Source organism: Homo sapiens, chromosome 19 (assembly GCF_000001405.40).
Source record: "Homo sapiens chromosome 19, GRCh38.p14 Primary Assembly".
In the NCBI taxonomy this organism is placed as follows: Eukaryota; Metazoa; Chordata; class Mammalia; order Primates; family Hominidae; genus Homo; species Homo sapiens.
The window spans coordinates 33,908,472-33,928,771 of record NC_000019.10 but is presented as its reverse complement, the minus strand read 5'-3'; the positions used below and the strand labels follow the sequence as shown (position 1 = coordinate 33,928,771).

At 44.1% G+C, this 20,300-nt stretch overlaps 1 pseudogene, besides 2 other annotated features; it reads left to right on the top strand.

The window, feature by feature from the left end:
* Nucleotides 887-1,406: an enhancer, noted in NCBI's record as "H3K27ac-H3K4me1 hESC enhancer chr19:34418271-34418790 (GRCh37/hg19 assembly coordinates)". NCBI's record gives its function as "activates a minimal SCP1, AML or CMV promoter by ChIP-STARR-seq in primed H9 embryonic stem cells {active_cell/tissue: H9 hESC(primed)}" and the evidence as "EXISTENCE:reporter gene assay evidence [ECO:0000049][PMID:30033119]".
* RN7SL150P (RNA, 7SL, cytoplasmic 150, pseudogene) lies at nt 1,147-1,408 on the top strand (annotated as a pseudogene).
* Nucleotides 14,383-14,900: an enhancer, noted in NCBI's record as "H3K4me1 hESC enhancer chr19:34404777-34405294 (GRCh37/hg19 assembly coordinates)". NCBI's record gives its function as "activates a minimal SCP1, AML or CMV promoter by ChIP-STARR-seq in naive H9 embryonic stem cells {active_cell/tissue: H9 hESC(naive)}" and the evidence as "EXISTENCE:reporter gene assay evidence [ECO:0000049][PMID:30033119]".

The following is a 20,300-nucleotide window of genomic DNA, read 5'->3' as shown; positions in this document are numbered from 1 at the left end:
ATTCACACAACTGCACACCTGCACACCTCAACTGCACACTTGCAAAATTGCACATCGGCACACCTGCACATTTACACACCTGCTTAACTGCACACTTGCACACTTGCACACCTGCACTCTTGCACACCTGCATACCTCCACAACTACACGCCTGCACATTTGCACAACTGCACACCTGCATACCCACACACCTGCACACCTGCCCACAACCTTGTGCCCAGCCTCCAAATTCCGTCCTCTAGCCTCCCGGGTGCCTTCCTATTCTGGGCTTCTGTAATCATCATTCAGTAATCCTGGGTGGCTGGTCTGGTTCCTTCTCTTTGTATCTTGCCTCTTGCACCAACTCCGAGGTTTCTAGTGGTTCTTCCCTCCTTCACCTCTGTGTCAGCCATCTCTTTAGCCTTCTTACCTGGGTCCCACACACGGCAGCAAAGAAAGTGTGGTGTGCATGGCTAAAGTCAGGCTATCCCTGAGTCTATAGAGGAGGATACATCAGCATAACAAATAGGTTCCTTTCTATTCACACTACTTAGGAATCATGGTTTTCTAAATGCTTTCACAAGGCTGTAAAATGGAAACTTGATATCACCAGTAAACCCATGAAGAAGCCTCTGTTCATCTCTATGGTGAGAGAGCCATTTCTTTAGCTTGTGGGGAATATTGTCAGCTAAAAGTATTGATCAGCCGAAGGCCCTGGCAGGAGGATGCAGAGGACATGAAATGTAAATGTCTTCATTTGCAAAAGGAGTTTCAGGACAGGCACCAGAGCTCAGGGAGGGGGTAATGACTTCAAAAACACCTGGGGTCACCTGCGGTATTTGTTGGTTTTCTCTCTGGACCTGAGCCTGTCTGAGAGATGAGCTCTGACATACACACCTGTAAATGGTGTCTGTGCCGGATCCTGGGGGTGATTCTGGTTAGAGATGAGAGCTGGGTCCAGAGTCTTGGGTGAGAATAAACCACCAGCAGGGGCTTCAGTTATGTGACTTTTGCAGGTCAAGCACATAAGACTCTCAGAAAACCCCTTCCTGAAGTTGACTTCACAGTAATAAATAACATGTGTGAGAGGGTGTGCAACAAGTGAAGAATTTGCATTTGAAGAACTGAAATAATAGAACACATGAAATAAATTCTAAAATAAGTATGGCTGGGTGCTGTGGTGCACACCTGCAGTCCCAGCTATTTGGAGGCTAAGACAAAAGGATTGCTGAAGTCCGGGAGTTCTGGGCTGTTGCGCGCTATGTTTGGCATCAATATAGGACCTCCCAGGAGCAGGGGGCCACCAGGTTGCCTAAGAAGGGGTGAACTGGCCCAGGTTGGAAAAGGAGCAGGTCAAAACTCCTGTGGTGATCAGAAGTGTGATTGCTCGGCCGGGCGCGGTGGCTCACTCCTGTAATCCCAGCACTTTGGGAGGCAGAGGCGTGCAGATCATGAGGTCAGGAGATCGAGACCATCCTGGCTAACACAGTGAAACCCCGTCTCTACTAAAACTACAAAAAATTAGCCGGGCTTGGTGGCAGGTGCCTGTAGTCCCATCTACTCAGGTGGCTGAGGCATGAGAATCGCTTGAACCCTGGAGGCCGAGGCTGCTGTGAGCCGAGATCGTGCTGCTGTACTCCAGCCTGGGCAACAGAGCGAGACTCCGTCTCAAAAAAAAGAAAGGAAAAAAAAAAAAAAGGAAGTGTGATTCCTTCTGAGAATAGACATGGCATTCCAGGCTGGGCAACATAGAGAGACCTCATCTCTAAAATGAATATAAAATAAAATAAAATAAAAATGTTTACCTTATTTAGAGATAATTGAGGATGGTTCAGTTTACTTTGTGGGTTTGAAATTAATTATAAATTTTAAAAAGAGAATCAAAGAAGTAAAAACAGTCAACAGTTTAAATGAAAACACAATAGTGATTTTTACTAGAAATTAGAACCTATACCTACCAACACCCACTTATTTCATTTTGCCCTCCCTTCTTGGCAATCCATGCTATGGAAAGCCAGTCTGTCATCCAACAATCATAATGATATGTTATCATCTTTATTCAAAACTCCTGAAACAATTGGGCTTATGTCTTGTCAAACAAAAATACAAGTATTTACTTCTGGTGGAGATATAGAACAGGTATGGGCTTTCAGTTCGCTCAATCTGAGAAAAGTAAACAGATACAGATGACTTTGACTTCGCTTCTACTCTCTAGCAGCCAGACACTTAATTTCCCTGGGATGCTATCCATAAACAGAAGATGCTTGTTGCCATGGATTTTTTGCTCTCAAGTTTTTTTTTTTCCTTGCCTTTTCTAAGACTTGAACAAAGCCAGTCTAGCCGAGAAATGAGCAAGTTATTTTTAGTTCTTTGAATGGTTTTTCATAAACTCTTTTCTTCCTTTGGCCTAAGGCCCACTGGACCATCAAAGGGATTTTAATACTAAGGTTGGAAAAGGAGAAGAGTCTTTGCAGGGCCACTTATCTCCAAGCCTGTCCCTTTCCAGCTAGAACCCTGGGTACCCCCAGAAAACAGAAAACCCTTGTGCCCATTTAGTGGGCTCTCTACAAGGCATCCATTGCTTTTCAGACATCCCAGCAGCCCTTTAGACTAAGCACATTTATTTATTTAAGTATTTATCTTGCGACAGGGTCTTGCTCTGTTACCCAGTCTAGAGTGCAGTAATGCAATCATAGCGCACTGTAGCCTCCACCTCCTGGGCTCAAGTGATCCTCTCACCTCAGCCTCCTGAGTAGCTGGGACTACAGGTGTGTGCAACCAGGCTTGGCTAATTTTTTGTTATTGTTTTATTTTAGTACAGATGGGGTCTCGCTTTGTTGCCCAGTCTGGTCTCGAACTCCTGGCCTCAAGCCATCCTCTTGCCTCAGCCTCACAAAACGTTGGAATTACAGGTATAAGCCACCATGCCTGGCCTAGACTTTGCACATTTAAACAGTGATCCCTGGATTCCCCTCCTCATTGGAGAGATGCCAGAAGCCCGGGAGTCCTCCCTGGCCCTCCTCCATTCATCCTTCCTCCTATCCCTCACCCAGACCTTTCAATTCTACTTCTCAGTACATTCCAAATGGAGGGTGTGTTTTCTCCTAAAAGGATTTGGGACTGACTTGGAGAAGAAAAGACCCAGCCCCAGCCCCAGGAGGGCTTTTCTCAAGGCTGACATCCACCAGGAAAACTCCCCTTGTGAAGCTCCAGCCTCCATTGCCAGACTTGGCAGCATCCCTTTCCCAGCTCCCAGCTCTGAGCAAAGCAGTCATGCAGTGATAGTGATGTCATCTGTATGGATGCCCCACCTCCACCTTGGGGTCAATCCTTTTCTTGGAATCAGATGCAAAGACACAATACAGCAGCAGAAAAAAAATTAACCAAAAAGAAGTAATAATTCCAAATTCTCACTCACCGTTTATTTTCTTCTCAGCTCCCCATCTATGACCTGAGCAGCAGAATGGATTTTCCTTCTTGCTTGTGGGGCCAGATCTATTCACTTGCCCTTCCTTGTAAGGGTGGAAATGGCTCTGATGATGGAGACCCATAGCTCCCAAGCAGGAATATGTCCGTCCCTATCTCTCCCCTTGATAAGATCAGATCCCTGTGTGGCTGGAAAGGAATCAGGAAAGATGAGGGGAAGCAGTGTATCCTTAGGGGAGAAATCCCTGGTATCTCCTTGTAAAAGAGAAGCTTGCCATCTTCCCAGCAGAATTGGATCTCGCCTGCCATGCTTGTGTTTTCAACCCCAGCCTTCCATTATTATTTATTATTTTCACTTCAAGTATTCCAAATGTTGATAGTCTGGTTCCACCCTTGAGGTTTGCAATTAAAAAAACCTAAATGTAAGAGGCAAGACAGTAAAACTAGAAGATAACGAAAAAGAAAATCAGGTGCCTTGAGTTTGGCAATGACCTTTTAGATACAACACCAAAAATGTGATCTTTTAAAGAAAGAATTCCAAAAAAAAAAAAAAAAAAAAAAGAAATGCTGGGTGTGGTGGCTCATGCCTGTAATCCCAGCACTTTGGGAGGCCAAGGCAGATCACTTGAGGTCAGCAGTTCAAGACCAGCCTGGCCAAAATGATGAAACCCCATCTCTGCTAAAGATACAAAAATTAGCTGGGCATGGTGTCTCACACCTGTAATCCCAGCTAGTCAGAAGGCTGAGGGAGGAGAATTGCTTGAACGTGGGAGGTGGAGGTTGTAGTGAGCCGAGATCGCACCACTGCACTCCAGCCTGGGCAACAGAGTAAGACTCTGTCTAAAAAAATTAAAAAATACAAACACACACACACATACACACACACACACCCCAAAAAACCTCTTAAAAATAACAATAAGAAAACAACCCAATTTAAAAATGGATAAAAGACCTTAACAGACATCTTGTTAAAATAAAGCAAAAGAAGATATCAAAAAGATGCTCAACCTCATGTCATCAGAGAATTGCACATCTAAACAGCAGTGCACTACACTACACATCCATTAGGATGGCTAAACACAAGACACGAACAACACCAAATGCTGATGAGAATGGGGAGCAATGGAACTCTCATTCATTTCCGGTGGGAATGCAAACTAAATATACTCTCACCACAGGATTCAGCAATTTGCTCCTTGTAATTTATCCAAATGAGTTGGAAACTTACATCCACACAAAAACTTGCCCATGAATGTTTATAGTAGCTTCATTCATAATTGGGAGAACTCAGATACAACCAAGGTATCCTTCAATAGGTTGAATGGTTAAACAAACTGAGGTATAACCACACAATGGAATATTATATAGCAATAAAAAGAAATGAACTATCGAGCCATGAAAAGACATGGAGGAATCTTAAGTGCCTATTTCTAAGTGAAAGAAGTTGATATGGTTTGGCTGTGTCCCCACTCAAATCTCATCTTGAATTGTAGTTCCCATAATCCCCACATGTCATGGGAGGGACCAGGTGGAGATAATTGAGTCATGGAGGCAGTTTTCCCCATCCTCTTCTCGTGATAGTGAATGAGTTCTCACGAGATCTGATGGTTTTATAAATGGGAGTTCCCCTGAACATGCTCTCTTGCCTGGCGCCATGTAAGATGTGACTTTGCCTCTCCTTTGCCTTTCACCATGATTGTGAGGCCTCCCCAGCCATGTGGAATTGTGAGTCCATTAAACCCCTTTCCTTTATAAATTACCCAGTCTCAGGTATGTCTTTATTAGCAGTGTGAGAAGGGACTAATACAGAAGCCAACTTGAAAATGTACATATTGTATGATTCCAACTGCATGACATTTTGGGAAAAGCAAAACTATGGAGACAGTAAAAAGATCAATGTTTCAGTTGTTCACAGGAAGAGAGAGTGAGGGAGAAACGAAGGGGGCTGGTTAGAGCAGTGAAACTATTCTGTATGATACTATAATGGTGGATACATGTGAAAACCCATAGAATGTACAACACAGAGTCAACCCTAATGTAAACTATGGATTTTTGTTAATATCAATGTATCAATATGAGCTGTGAATTCTAACAAATGAAGTAAACAATGTACCAATATTGGCTCATGAATTCCAACAAATGTAGCCACTGTTGCAGTATGTTAGTAGTAGGGGAAACTGCGAGGGTGAGGGAGTATATGAGAACTGTATGTATTTTCCACTTAATTTATCTACAAGCCCAAAACTGCTCTAAAAAATAAAGCCCGTTTTTTAAAAAAATTGGCCAGGTGTGGTGGTTCACACTTGTGATCCCAGCACTTTGGGAGGCCAAGGAGAGAGGATCGCTTGAGCCTAGGAGTTCAAGACCAGCCTGGGCAACGTAGCAAGACTCCATCTCTAGAAAAAACTTAAAAATTAGCTGGATGTGGTAGTGTGCACCAGTAGTCCCGGCTACTTGGGAGGCTGAGGTGGGAGGATCGCTTGGGCCTAGGAGGTCGAGGCTGCTGTGAGCCATGATTGTGCTACTGCACTCCAGCCTGGGCAACAGAGCAAAACCTCATCTCTACAAAAATAAATAAATAAATAATATAAACTTTCTATCAATCCATCCATCTGGGAGTACATTTGACTAGTCTAAAAACCTAAATAGAAGATAAGGCCACCTTTCCGTAGTGTGTAGTAGTAGCAGAAATAGCAGTCATAGTGATAGTAGTAGTGGCAGCGTATAGCCTGTGCCTGGCAGTGGGCAGGTTGTCTGCCCTCCCAATCTCAGCCCCCCTATAAAAAGAGGGTGACATTGGCCATGGTTGACTCCTAAGAATACTGCTGTGAGAGTAATGTGGCTCCTCTGTAAGAACTGGAAACCACCACAAGCTTCCTACTAAAGCCAAGAGGTGGCCTTCCACTTCTCTAACTGGGCACACATGGAGGTTTTTGGTTTGCCGAGCTTTTCTCCATTAGCTCATCAGCTTTTGAAGAAGGCCAGAGGTCGGGAGCCATTTCTTTATTCTTTTGCTATTTTTATCTGGAGCTTCTTCCAGTGGCAATCCATAGGACTCAAGCCATGCTGAGACCAGGTAGGAGCTCAGGTCTGAGACAGAAACAGATGTTGTGTCTGCCTTACTCTGGATTTCCTCAAAGAAAACACTGGTTGGTTACTAACTCCATTTTATTTTATTTTATTTTATTTTATTTTATTTGGGGACGGAGTTTCACTCTTCTTGCCCAGGCTGGAGTGCAACGGCGTGATCTTGGCTCACTGCCATCTCTGCCTCCCGGGTTCAAGCAGTTCTCCTGCCTCAGCCCCCTGAGTAGCTGGGATTACAGGTGCCCACCACCATGACTGGCTAATTTTTTGTATTTTTAGTAGAGATGGGGTTTCACCATGTTGGTCAGGTTGGTCGTGAATTCCTGACCTCAAGTGATCCACCCACCTCGGGCTCCCAAAGTGCTAGGTATTATAGGCATGAGCCACTGTGCCCAGCCTTTATTTTTTTAAATAATAATAATTATTATTATTTTGTAGAGACAGGGTCTCACTATGTTGCCCTGGATGGTCTTGAACTCCTGGGCTCCAGCAATGCTCCTGCCTTGGCCTCCCAAAGTGCTGAGATTACAGGCATGAGCCACCACACCCGGTCTATTTTATTTTTTTTAATACAGAGATGATTTTCTTACATAGAAAACCAATGACACTGCTGCCTTGCTGCGTCTCTAGAGGTAGAGTTTAAAAGATGAAATTTTCAGAGATGATTGTGCAAAGCAACAAATACGTGCCAAAATATTAGGAAAAAATACATGAGGGCAGCAATCTTAAAGTCTACTTCTGAAGCACCCAGAAAACATTTTTTACAGGCATCACACAAAGCTGGAGGGATTTCTTGAGTGAGGCTGCGTCTTAGCCATGACTGCATCTCCACATTCAGGGATGGAGGAGCAGATTATACTTGTGCCTTAGTCAAGTACATCAGGGAGGAAGGACAGCTTCAGGACCAGGGGCAGCAGCAACAGCAGTGTCTCACTGACTAGCAGAGCTTCCCAAGTGCATTTCACCCCTCCGCACAAGGGGCTAATCCTAGCACTTTGAGAGGCCGAGGTGGGTGGATCACTTGAGCTCCAGGAGACCAGCCTGGACAACATGGCAAATCCCTATCTCTATAAAAAATACAAAAATTAGTCAGGCATGGTAGTATGTGCCTGTGGTTCCAGTTACTTGGGGGACTCAGGCAGGAGGAGCACTTGAGCCAAGGAGGACAAGATTGCAGTGAGCTGAGACTGCACTACTGCATTCCAGCCTGGGCAACAGAGTGAGACCCTGCCTCAAAAAAAAAAAAAAAAAGAATCCTGCATGAAAAATTTGTCTATTTCCCATTTAGTTACTTATTCAATAATTTACTTATATTAGTATGGACTCATGGCTATCTATAATACACTTTGAGTTATAATCTAACACTATGTCATTTACTTGGTTTATGAAATTGTTTCATCTTTGCCTTTGGAAGTTCTTTCAGTTTGTTCCCATGTCTCTTTGATATAACTGCCATCTAGCAAGACCCTCTACTAGCGTCCCAAATGTGTAGCACGGTGACCGGAGGAACTGATGGGCCTAAAGGATGATGATTTCTCTACTAGAATACCAAATCTTTTCAAATGCTAAAGATAATCTTAAATCAATGCTTTCATTTAGGATACTTGTAGACCAACAGAAAATTTTGCCTTAAGTCTTCACTTATCTTCATAGTTACATAGGTCAGCACTATTTTCACCCTACCTTTTTCAGTAAAGTTATTTCATACCCTTGTAATACAGGTAGATTATTTTGTTACCATCTACATTCTTCCTGGGATCCTCCAACCTCCTAAATGATTTTTTAAAATTTGCATAATTAAGGGTTCCTCTTTGTGCCGTAAAGGTCTACAGATTTGATAATGCAATGTAATGTATCCACCATTACAGTATTACCCAGAATAGTTTCACCACCCTAAAAAACCACCTGTGCTTCACATATTCAAGTCTCCTCCTTCCTAGAACCCCTGGCAACTGCTTACTGTCTCTAAAGTTTTGCCTTTTGCAAAATGTCATACAAATGAAATCCTATAGCATATAGCCTTTTTGGATTGGTTTCTTTCACTTAGCAATATGCATATAACAGTCATCCATATTTTTTGCATGGCTCACTTTTTTTTTAATCACTAAGTAGTATCCCACTGAATGGACGGACCACTGTTTCTTTATCCTTTCGCTTATTGAAGAACATCTTAGTTGTTTATGATTTTGGGTGATCATGAATACATCTACCCTAAATATTCACATGCAGACGTTTGTGCAGACGTATGTTTTGAAATCAGTTGGGTAAATGCTGAGCAGCCTGTGTTAGTCCATTCTTGTGTTGCTGTAAAGAAATACCTGAGGCTGGGTAATGTATAAAGAAAGAGGTTTAATTGGCTCGTGGTTCTGCAGGCTCTAGGAGAAGCATGGTGCTGGTATCTGCTCCTGGTGAGGGCCTCGGGAAGCTTACAATCATGGTGGAAGCAAAGGGGGAGCTGGTGTGTCACATGGTAAGAGCAGTAGCAAGACAGAGAGGGAGGAGATGCCACATTCTTTTAAACAACCAGATCTCACATGAACTCAGAGTGAGAACTCACTCATTACTGCAAGCATGGCACCAAGCCATTCATGATGGATCTGTCCCCATGACCCAAACACCTCCCATCAGGCCCCACCTCTAACATTGAGGATTATATTTGAACATGAGACTTGGAGGGGATAAACATCCAAGCCATATCAGAGCATGATTGCTAGATCATATGGTAAAACTGTGCTTAGCTTTGTAAGAAACTGCCAATCTGTCTTCCAAAATAGCTGTATCATTTTGGAATCCCACCAGCAATGTATGAGTTCCCATTGCTCTGCACCCTCTCACCAGCCATTGGTATTGTCAGTTTTTTGGATTTTAGCCATTCTAATATGTGTGCAGTAGTATCGCATTATTGCTTTGATTTGCATTTCCCTAATGACAAATGACATTGAACATCCTTTCATATGCTTATTTGCCATCTGTGTATCTTCTAAGGATAGTTTTTAGATAATTTTAAAGATAATTTTTATTTTTAAATAATTTTAAACCTACATAAAAGTTGCAAGTACATATAGTACAAAGACCCCCTTATTCTTGAAAAGTATGAGAATAAGTTGTTGGCTTTTTTCTGGTTTTTTTTTTTTTTGAGACCGAATCTCACTCTGTCACCCAGGCTGAAGTGCAGTGGCACTATCTCAGCTCACTACAACCTCCACCTGCCAGGTTCAAGTGATTCTCCTGCCTCAGCCTCCTGAGTAGCTGGGATTACAGGCGCCCACCACCACGCCCAACTAATTTTTGTATTTTTAGTAGAGATGGGGTTTCACCATGTTGGCCAGGCTGGTCTCGAACTCCTGACCTCAGGTGATCCACCCACCTAGGCCTCCCAAAGGGCTGGGATTACAGGTGAGCCACTGCGCCCGGCCCACTTTCTAATATTTGAATGTGTATTTCTTACAAACAAGGAGATTATACTAAATAACCACAATACGTGACTAAAATTAGAAAATTAACATTGATACATAACTAGCATCTCCTTAGACCTCATTCCAATGTAATTAGTTGTTTCAAGAGCAGAAGGATTGAGTCTAGGAAAACGTGATGCATTGAATTGTCACATCTCTTAGTTTTCAGTCTGAACTGTTTTCAGTCTCTCCTTGACCTTGGTACTTTTGAAGATTACCAGCCAGTTATTTTGTAGATTACCAGCCAGTTTTTGTAGTTATTTTGTAGTTATTTTGAAGATTACCGGCCAGTTTGTTTGTCCCTCGTTTGGTTTGACTGATGTCTCCTCGTGTTTAGATTCAGGTTATGTATTTTGGGCAGGAATATCCGAGAGGTGAGGCTCTGCTCTTCTTACCAGATGGCACACATTTCCAATTTCTCCTGTTACTGATGATGTTAACTTGATGAAGACATATCTGTACCTGCCAAGCCTCTTTACTACCAAATCACTCTTTTTAGCTTTGTAATTAATAAACATTTTGTGAGGAGGTGCCTTTGAGACTAAATATCTTGTTCCTCATCAAGCCTCTACCCACTAGTTTAAGCCTACATTGATGATTCTTGGATTAATTAGTTATTGCTGTGGAGGTAACGAGATGATGATTTTCTCACCCCATGATTCCTTATACACTTGGCATTCTACTGCAGGGAAGCATTCTGCTGTTTCTCCCCACAATTATTTATTTATAGGAGTATGGACTCATGGATTTGTATTTTTCTTAGTGGTTTATAATTGCCCCAGATGTGGTCAGTGGGAGCTGCTCTGTGTCCTTTTGACATGCCTCCATCATCCTATAAGCACTTTCTTAATCTTCTACAAGAAGATGTTTAAAGCTCATCTTTACTATCCCTGCTCGGCTCTTTTAGTGGAGACTGATATTTAGAAAACAAGATCTGGTCTGGGTATGGTGGCTCATGTCTATTGTATTAGTTCGTTCTCATGCTGCTAATAAAGACATATCCAAGACTGGGTAATTTATAAAGGAAAGAGGTTTAACTGACTCACAGTTCTGCATGGCTGGGGAGACCTCAAGAAACTTACAATCATGGCGGAAGGCACCTCCCTACAGGGCGGCAGGAGACAGAATGAGTGCCCAGCCAAGGGGGAAGCCCCTTATAAAAACATCAGAACACGTGAGAACTAATTCACTATTACAGAAACAGGATGGGGGAAACTGCCCCCATGATTCAATTATCTCTGCCTCGTCCCTCCCATGACACTTGGGGATTATGGGAGCTAAAATTCAAAATGAGATTTGGGTGGGGGCACAACCAAACTATACCACCTATCATCCCAGTGCTTTGGTAGGCTGAGATGGGAGGATCACTTGAGCCCCTGGAGGTCAAGGCTGCAGTGAGCTAAGATGGTGCCAACACACTCCAGTCTGGGTGACAAAGGAAGACTCTGTCTCTTAAAAAAGGAAAGAATGAAAGAAAACAAGATTTGGACACTAGATGAGCTCATGGCTTTTGGGGAGTCACTGCTTCCAGGGGCTCTCAGTGAACAGAAGTAGGAAATACATGAGTGTATGTTTGTGTATAATATTTATGCAAATATGCATAATGCATACATTTATATATGTACATTCACATTTCTATCTACATTTATTTTTACATCTATTTATATGTACATTGAAAACCATGAATCTACACTGATAACTCCAATTTTCATCTAATCCTAAAAGATTCTGTGTTAATTTGCTAGGGCTGCCATAACAAAATGCCACAGACTGCATGGCTTAAACAACAGACATTTCTCTTCTCACAGTTCCAGAGGCTGGAAGTCCAAGATCAAGGTACCAGCAGGGTTGGTTTATCCTGAAGCCTCTCTCCTTGGCTGGCATATGGCCACTCTCTTGCTACCTCTTCACGTGGTTGTCCCTGTGTATATGCATGCCTCTGGGGTCTCTCTGTTTGTCCTCACCTTCTCTTCTTATAAGCATATCAGTCAAATTGAATTAAGGCCTGCCTAATTATTTCATTTCAATCTAATCACCCCTTTCAATGCTCTATCTCCAAATACCCTCACATTCTGAGATACTTGGGGTCAAGACATCAACATGAATTTTGGGAGGATAGAATTCAGCCCATAATGGTTTCATTTTAGGGTTTTCCTCCCTTTCTATATTTGAAACTCCCCTTTTTAACTGTGAGAAACCCAGCTCTCATTACACCCATATATTTATGTATTAGATTGAAGTCCTCTGTATGCAACCAATTGCTGCCCCTGTTCCCACACAGATACCCTCCTCATCCATGTCGTCCAAATGACCACCAGGATTGCTAAAGAGTAGAAAGAAGGATGGGCGCTGTGGCTCATGCCTGTAATCCCAGCACTTTGGGAGGCCGATGACAGTAGATCACCTGAGGTCAGGAGTTCAAGACCAGCCTGGCCAACATGGTGAAACCCCGTCTCCACTAAAAATACAAAAATTAGCCGGGTGTGGTGGCACGTGCCTGTAATCCCAGCTATGCAGGAGGCTGAGGCAGGAGAACCACTTGAACCTGGGAGGCGGAGGTTGCAGTGAGCTAAGATCACACCAATGTGCTCCAGCCTGGGTGACAGAGCAAGACTCTGTCTCAAATAAATAAATAAATAAATAAATAAATGTAGAAAGGAGAGCTTTATTGATGGTATCAGTTTGCAAACCGGGAAGAGACCATCTCTGGCATGTGCAGAAGGTGTCCTCTCTTTAATGAGGGAAGGGGCAGGTTGGGTTTTATGCCTCACAGGGTCTGTATCACACAATAGAGTCCTATGTATTCAGCAAGCTGGAGGAAAAAACGATATATATTTCTGAGGGGAGCTGAGTTCATGTGCAATAGATGGATTTCTCTCATTTTTTTTTTTTCACTCTGTCACCCCGGCTAGAGTGCAGTGGCACGAACATGTCTCACATGGAGCCTCGGCCTCCTGGGCTCAAATGTTCCTCCCACCTCAGCCTCCTGAGTAGCTGGGACTACATGCACATGCCACCACACCCGGCTAATACTTTGTTTTATTTGTTTGTTTGGTAGAGATAGGATCTTACTATGTTGCCCAGGCTGGTCTTGAATTCCTAGGCTCAAGCAATCCACCCACCTCAGCCTCCCAAAGTGCTGGGATTACATGTGTGAGCCACTGTACTCGGTTATGAGTGGATTTCTCTACGGGCCTTTCAGCACCTATTGGACAAAGAAACATGTTCTAATAACTTCTTCTCAATGTTTTCTTTAAAATTCCTCTGCCAAACTCTTCCATTCACTGAAGGAAAATAGTTTATGATGCATTTGAAAGAAAACATGATTCAATTTGCCTTTTATTGTTGGATGTTTCTATGGAACTATGAGGGCCCAATGAGGAAAGAAAAATGTTCTTCTAACACACTGTAAACTTTCACTTAGAAAAGTATTTATGGGCTGGGCGTGGTAGCTCACGCCTGTAATCCCAGTACTTTGGGAGGCTGAGGTGGGCGGATCACCTGAGGTCAGGAGTTCAAGACCAGCCTGGCCAACATGGCAAAACCCTATCTCTACTAAAGAATACAAAAATTATCCGGGCATGGTGGTGGGCGCCTGTAATCCCAGCTACTCAGGAGGCTGATGCAGGGAGAATTGCTTGAATCTGGGACGCGGAGGTTGCAGTGAGCTGACATCGCACCACTGCACTCCAGCCTGGGCGACAGAGTGAGACTTGGTCTCAAAAAAAAAAAAAAAAAAAAAAGAAGAAAAGTATGTATGTATGTATATGATGTAGTATGTGGTATGTGTATGTAACATATATCCCATGTTCACTTTGAAATGGGGTTTTAGGATTAAAACGAGATGGAATTTAGCCCCTTACATCAAAAAGTGAACTATAAGATGCCGAGACAGTTTGTGCACAGCCTCTATCAGCTGCTGAGACTGGCCTAAGGTGAAGTTGCTTATCAGAAGAGAATGTTTGTAAGGCTGGTCCTCTGTCCAATCAGAGTTGTAGTGATCTGATCTGTAAATCAGCTGATAATTTGCCCGATAGCTCCTATCGTTAAGGAGCGTAGCAAGAGTGTGGTTTTTCTTGTAATGGTAGGAATTTAGAAATTTGCCGTGTCAGCCAGGCCCTGAACCCTCGACCCATAGGTAACTTTTGTTTCCTTAACCTTAGGGTCCGTCTTAGTTGATAAAGGGGCATCAACTTTGGTCTCTCGGGTCATATCCCCTTTGGGATCAAACAACCCGCACAGCACCACCTCCCACCCCTACTCCACTCCGTGCAGTCACCGCCTCATCCAACTGAGACTACTTTTTCACACTGGACTCCCCGCTCTTCCTGCTTTTGTTGCAATGCCCTGTGCTGGGCTGGGGCAGCTACCCAGCCCCGCCCCTGCCACCTCCCAGTGCATCCTCCTCATCTCACTGGGCTCCAGAATCCCACACCAGATTTCACCAATTTCCTTTACCCTGCTGGGCTCCGGTGTTCCGTGCCAGGCTGCCGGCACTGGCACTGCCCACCTCCACCCTGCAACAGTGCCTGTTTTCCTTGGCTCCACCTAATGGCTTTTAGACAGGAGAGAAGAAGAACCGAGCCGAGGCCAAGGGCATGACGGGGTCAACTGGGGATTTTTGTTGCAGGTAACAGAAGCCAGCGCTGGCTAACATTAGCAAATCAGAATAATCATTATTGTTATTGAAAGGACATGGGACAACACAAAAGCTAGACAGTCAGCCTTGGGTAGATTAGGAACCAAGGTGATCTGAGGATGTGGGGGTGCAAGCAGGATTTGGGGGTACTGCCATTAGAATGGCTCAGCACAAAGCATTGTACACCCCAGGTCCCTCCACTCAAAACTCGAGACTCCTAGCAGGAGCTGGGCATTGAGCTGAACCCTTTGCCAGGCAGTGGGCACTGGGGTTGACTTCCCACGAGCCACATGCAATAGGAAAGAGGTGGGTCCCAGAGGGAAAAGTGGGACCTCGTTGCCCATCGAAGGCCAGGCATGCGTGGCGGACAGCAGACGGCTGGGGACTTGTATTTGTTTCTGAGGGCTGTCATAACACAGAATGAGTTGCTTAAAACACAGAAATGTGGCCACGTGTGGTGTCTCACACATGTAACCCCAGCACTTTGGGAGACTGAGGCAGGAGGATCGCTTGAACCCAGGAGTTCGAGACCAGGCTGGGCAACATGGCGAAACCCTGTCTCTTCAAAAATAAAAATAAAAAATTAGCCGTGCTTGGTGGCCTGCGCCTGTAGTCCCAGCTACTTGGGAGGCTGAGGTGGGAGGATCATTTGAGCCTGGGAGGTGGAGGTGCAGTGAGCCGAGATCATGCCACTGCACCCCAGCCTGGGCGACAGAGCAAAACCCTGTTTCAAAACAAAAAACAGAAATGTATTGTTTCCATTCTGGAGACCAGAAATCAGAAGTCAAGGTGTCAGCACAATAGGCGGTTCCTTCTGAGGGCTGAGGAAAGTTCTTTTCTATGCCTCTGTCCTGTTTCTTGCAGTCTGAGGCCCTCCTTGGCTTGAAGAGGGTGTTCTCCAAATATCTTCATAGAATCTTCCCTCTATGCATGTCTGTCTCTGTGTCCTCTTTTCATAAGGTCACAGTGCACATGACCTCATTTTACATCTGCAACCACCTTGATATGGTTTGGATCTGTTTCCCTCCAAATCTCACGTTAAATTGTAGTCCCCAGTGTTGGAGGTGGGGCCAGGTGGGAAGTGATTGGATCATGGGCGTGGAGTTCTCACCAATAGTTTAGCACCCTCCCCCTTGGTACTGTACAGTGAGTTCTCAAGACATCTGTTTATGTAAAAGTGCGTAGCACCTCCCGCCTCATTCTCTCTTCCTCCTGCTCCTGCCGTGGAAGATGTGCCTGCTTCTCCTTTGCCTTCTGCCATGATTGTAAGTTTCCCAAGGCCTTCCCAGCCATGCTTCCTGTTCAGCCTTCAGAACTGTGAGCCAATTAAACCTCTTTTCTTTATAAATTACCTAGTCTCGGGTATTTCTTTATAGCAGTGCAAGAACAGACTCAGACACACCTTATTTCCAAATGAGGTTATATTCTGAGACAGTAGGGGTGAGGACTAAAACATGAATTTGCGGGACACACAACTCATAACGGTCCTCTTGGGACATCCAATCCAGTGTCTCCTGGGAAAGACTAAATCCCATAGAGTACCTTCTCTCATCCCTGTGTATCTTGCTCAGTCTGGAAGAAACCTCACATGGACAAATTGGAAAACTCAACTGATTATCTTCCTGTTGAAAAGAAATCCACTGCTTTGGGAATCTCACCTAAATTGATGGCTATCAGTGATTCCAGCAGCAGAAAAACACCCCGTTTTCCTGCTGAGGAATACGTGGTCACCTCAGGGCCATCACACATCCCCATGTGATGTCCACCTGTGCATAGGTGACAGATTTCTAGATATCTGTAGTTGTCATTGTGATCACTAAGATCCAAGGTCATTTTCAGGTGTTCACAAGTTCTTTTTACTACTTTTATTTGCTAAATCAACATGCTAGAAATGCAACAGCTATGTAGAAGTCAGCAATATTTTGTCCATTAAAAAGGAATCATCTTACTCAAAAAGGAACGAGAACTTCAAGATTTACTGTAAGATTACAGTAATCAAGACAGTGTGGGACCAGCAATAGGAGGAATAAATAGATCAACGAACAGCATAGAGAACCCAGAAACACATATTTATGAATACAGCCATTTGATTTTTTTTATTAAAAAAAAAAAGATGGGGTCTTACTATGTTGCCCACGCTGGTCTTGAACTCCTGGGCTCAAGGGATCCTCCCACCTCGGCCTCTCAAAGTACTGGGATTTACAGGCATGAGCCACTGCGCCTGGCCAGCCATCTGATTTTTGACAAACATAATGCAATCCAACAGGGAAAGGAAACTCATGAACAAATTGTACTGGACCAACTGGATTTCCATTTGGAAAAAAAAAAAAAAATCTCAAGCTGGGCATTTTGGCTTACATTTGTAATCCCAGCACTTTGGGAGGCCGAGTGGAAGGATCGCTTGAGACCAGGAGTTCAAGACCAGCCTAGGCAACATACAGATGCCCCTATCTCTACAAAAGATAAAAAAAAATTTAGCTGGGCATGGTGGCATGTGCCCGTGGTCCCACCTACTCAGGAGGCTGAGGTGGGAGGATCACTTGAGCCAAAGAGTGTCTCTCTAAAAAAAAAAAAAGATCAATAAATAAAGTCCAAAAAATGGGCCAAAGATTTGAAAAGATACTTCACCAAGGAAGATATGAGTGGTGTATAAGAACATGAAAAACTATTCAATATCTTTAGTTATCTGGGAAATGCAAATTAAAACCACAATGAGATACTGCTACCCACCAACCAGAATGATTAAAATGTAAATGGCCCTCAGCTCCATTTGCGGGTGAGAACGAGGGCAGTCGAAACTCTCACACATTTTTGGTGAATTTTGGGGAAGTGTAATGATGTCTATAAAGTACTCTGAAATGCATCAAAACATGGACAGTGGGGCAGATTGTATTTTCCAAAAATGACTACAACAACATCTCCGTTCCCACGTGTTCTGCTAAATGTAATCGTGACACTCCCCTTTCTAGACATAGAGTCTAATTCCCCTCTCCTTGAATCTAGATGGGCGTGTGACTGCCATCAGTGTTGAGTGGAACAGTCACTCAACTGCCAGCAGAGTTACATGGAAGTGATACTGTGTACCTTATAAGCATGCGCCAGAAAAGTTCCTGACACTTCCGTTTTACTCACTGGAACACTTGTGATTGGAGCCCTGAACCATCCGGTAAGAAGTCTGACTATCTTGAGGCACCATGAAGTCATGATGCCAACTTCATTGATAAGCCACATGAAATTCCTCCATTTGCTTGTCTTAATTTTCAAGTTGTCCTAGCCCAGCCTCCAGCTATTTCTAGATTTCCAAGCAGAGTCCTGAGCTACCATTTGTTTTCTCTTAGCTCTGTATCGTAGAGGAAGAGAAAGAAATATTCAGCTTCAGGCAGAATTTAGAAGTCGGGACCAGGTGGATTCAAAAACTATTTCTCAGCTGGGCACAGTATCTCACATATGTCATCCCAGCGTTTTGGGAGGCCAAGGCGGGTGGATTGCTTGAGCCCAGGCATTTGAGACCAGTTTGAGCAACATAGCTACAAAAAATAAAAAATAAAAATAAAAATTTAAAAAATGTTCTTTACAATACATTTTTTAAAAAGTTAGGCATGGTGACGTGCACTTGTAGTCCCAGCTACTTGGGAGGCTGAGGCAGGAGGATCGCTTAAGCACAGAAGGTTGAGGCTGCAACGAACTACGATTGCACCACTGCACTCCAGCCTGGGTGACATAGTGGGACCCTGTCTCAAAAAACAAAACAAAACAAAAAACTGTTTCTCATTCCACGTTTCTCCCAGTGGAAGATTCAAAAAGGGCAAAGATCAGACCCAGGGCACTGTTAGGAAAGCAGCTCAGGGTAAGGGTGAACCAAGTGCCCCACTGTAAAGTTCTTCTTTAAGATATGAGAAAATTTTATGGTGGTGCCTTGTAGACCCTTTCAACCAGACAAAAAGCCTCTTAAGGAAACTAACAGCATACTTTGTAGATCCTCTGTGTTAAACAATAGGACTTCTAAGAATCTTTTTTTTTTTTTTTTTTTTTGAGACTAAGTTTTGCTCTGTCTCCCAGGCTGGAGTGCATAGCCTGGGATCTCAGTTCACTGCAACCTCTGCCTCCCAGGTTCAAGCAATTCTCCTGCCTCAGCCTCCTGAGTAACTGGGATTACAGGCATCTGCCCCGATGCCCAGCTAATTCTTTGTATTTTCAGTAGAGACAGGGTTTCACCATGTTGGCCGGGTTGGTCTCAAACTCCTGACCTCAGGTGATCCACCCACCTCAGCCTCCCAAAGTGCTGGGATTACAAGCGTGAGCCACTGCGCCCAACCAACTTCTAGGAATCTTAAGGGCATTGTCCCACAGCAATTTCATGGGGAACCCAAAAGAGAGAAAGGCTTATTTTAGTTTTTGGGTTTTTTTTGAGACAGAGTCTCGCTCTGTTGCCCAGGCTGGAGTGCAGTGGCGTGATCTCAGCTCATTGCAAACTCTGCCTCCTAGGTTCAAGTGATTCTCCTGCTTCAGCCTCCCAAGTAGCTGCGATTACAGGCGCACACCACCACACCCAGCTAATTTTTGTATTTTTAGTGCAGACGTGGTTTCTCCTTGTTGCTCAACCTCAGGTAATCCACCCACCTCGGCCTCCTGGTGTGCTGGGATTACAAGTGTGAGCTACCTCGCCCGGACAAGAAAGGTTTATTTTGAAGTGGTTTATTGGCTCACATCTGTAGTCCCAGCACTTTGGGAGGTCAAGGTGGGAAGGTTGCTTGAGGCCAGATGTTCAAAACCAGCCCGGGCAACATAGCGAGACCCCTGTCTCTGCAAAATAAAAACCAAATTAGATGGGTGTGGTGGTGCATGTGTGCAGTCCCAGCTATTCAGGAGGCTGAGGTGGGAGGATCACTGGAGCAGAAGTTGCAGGCTCAAATGAGCTATGATGGCACCACTGCACTCCAATCTGGACAACAGAGCAAGACCCTATCTCTAAAAAACAAAAGCCAACAACAACAATAAAAAGGAATCTTGGACTCTGAGCCTGATGATTTCATGGAATGAGAATTTGTGCATATTGCACAAGCATTATTGTGACCAAAGGGGTAAATGTGGCATCTCCAAAGATGGCCACAACAGTTCCTGTGCCACAGATCTACAAAATGAGCCTCCCACATCACCAGCAAGAGGTGGAACCTAATTCTCCCCTATTTGAATCTATGGCTGCTTTGACCAACAGGAAGCAATGCTATGTAACTTGCAAGGCTGGGTTATAAAGGCACTGCAACTTCTGCCTTGTTTGCCAGAACACACTCTCGGAGCTCTGAGCCGCCCTGGGAGAAGTTCAGCTACCTTGAGGCTACCATGCTGGGAGGAAGTCTGAGCTTCATGATGAGATCACACGCAGGCACGATGCTGGCAACCCCCAGACATGTGCGTGAAGATGCCTCAGGACGATTCCAGCCTGCAGGCATCAAGTCCTCCGAGCTGAGACCCCAGACGTCCTAGAGCAGCAACAAGCCAATCTGTCTGAATTTCTAACTCATGAAATCCATGAGCATGACAAAAATGGCTGTTTTTTTCAAGTCACGAAGTTTTGAGGAATTTGTTACATAACAGTAGTAACCAGAACAGATGGATTGATATATGGATAGAGGGAAAGAAAGCTAGATGGACAGATATGTGATAGAGCAAATAGAGTAAAAATGTTAATGCAGAAGCTAGGTGGAACATGCGTG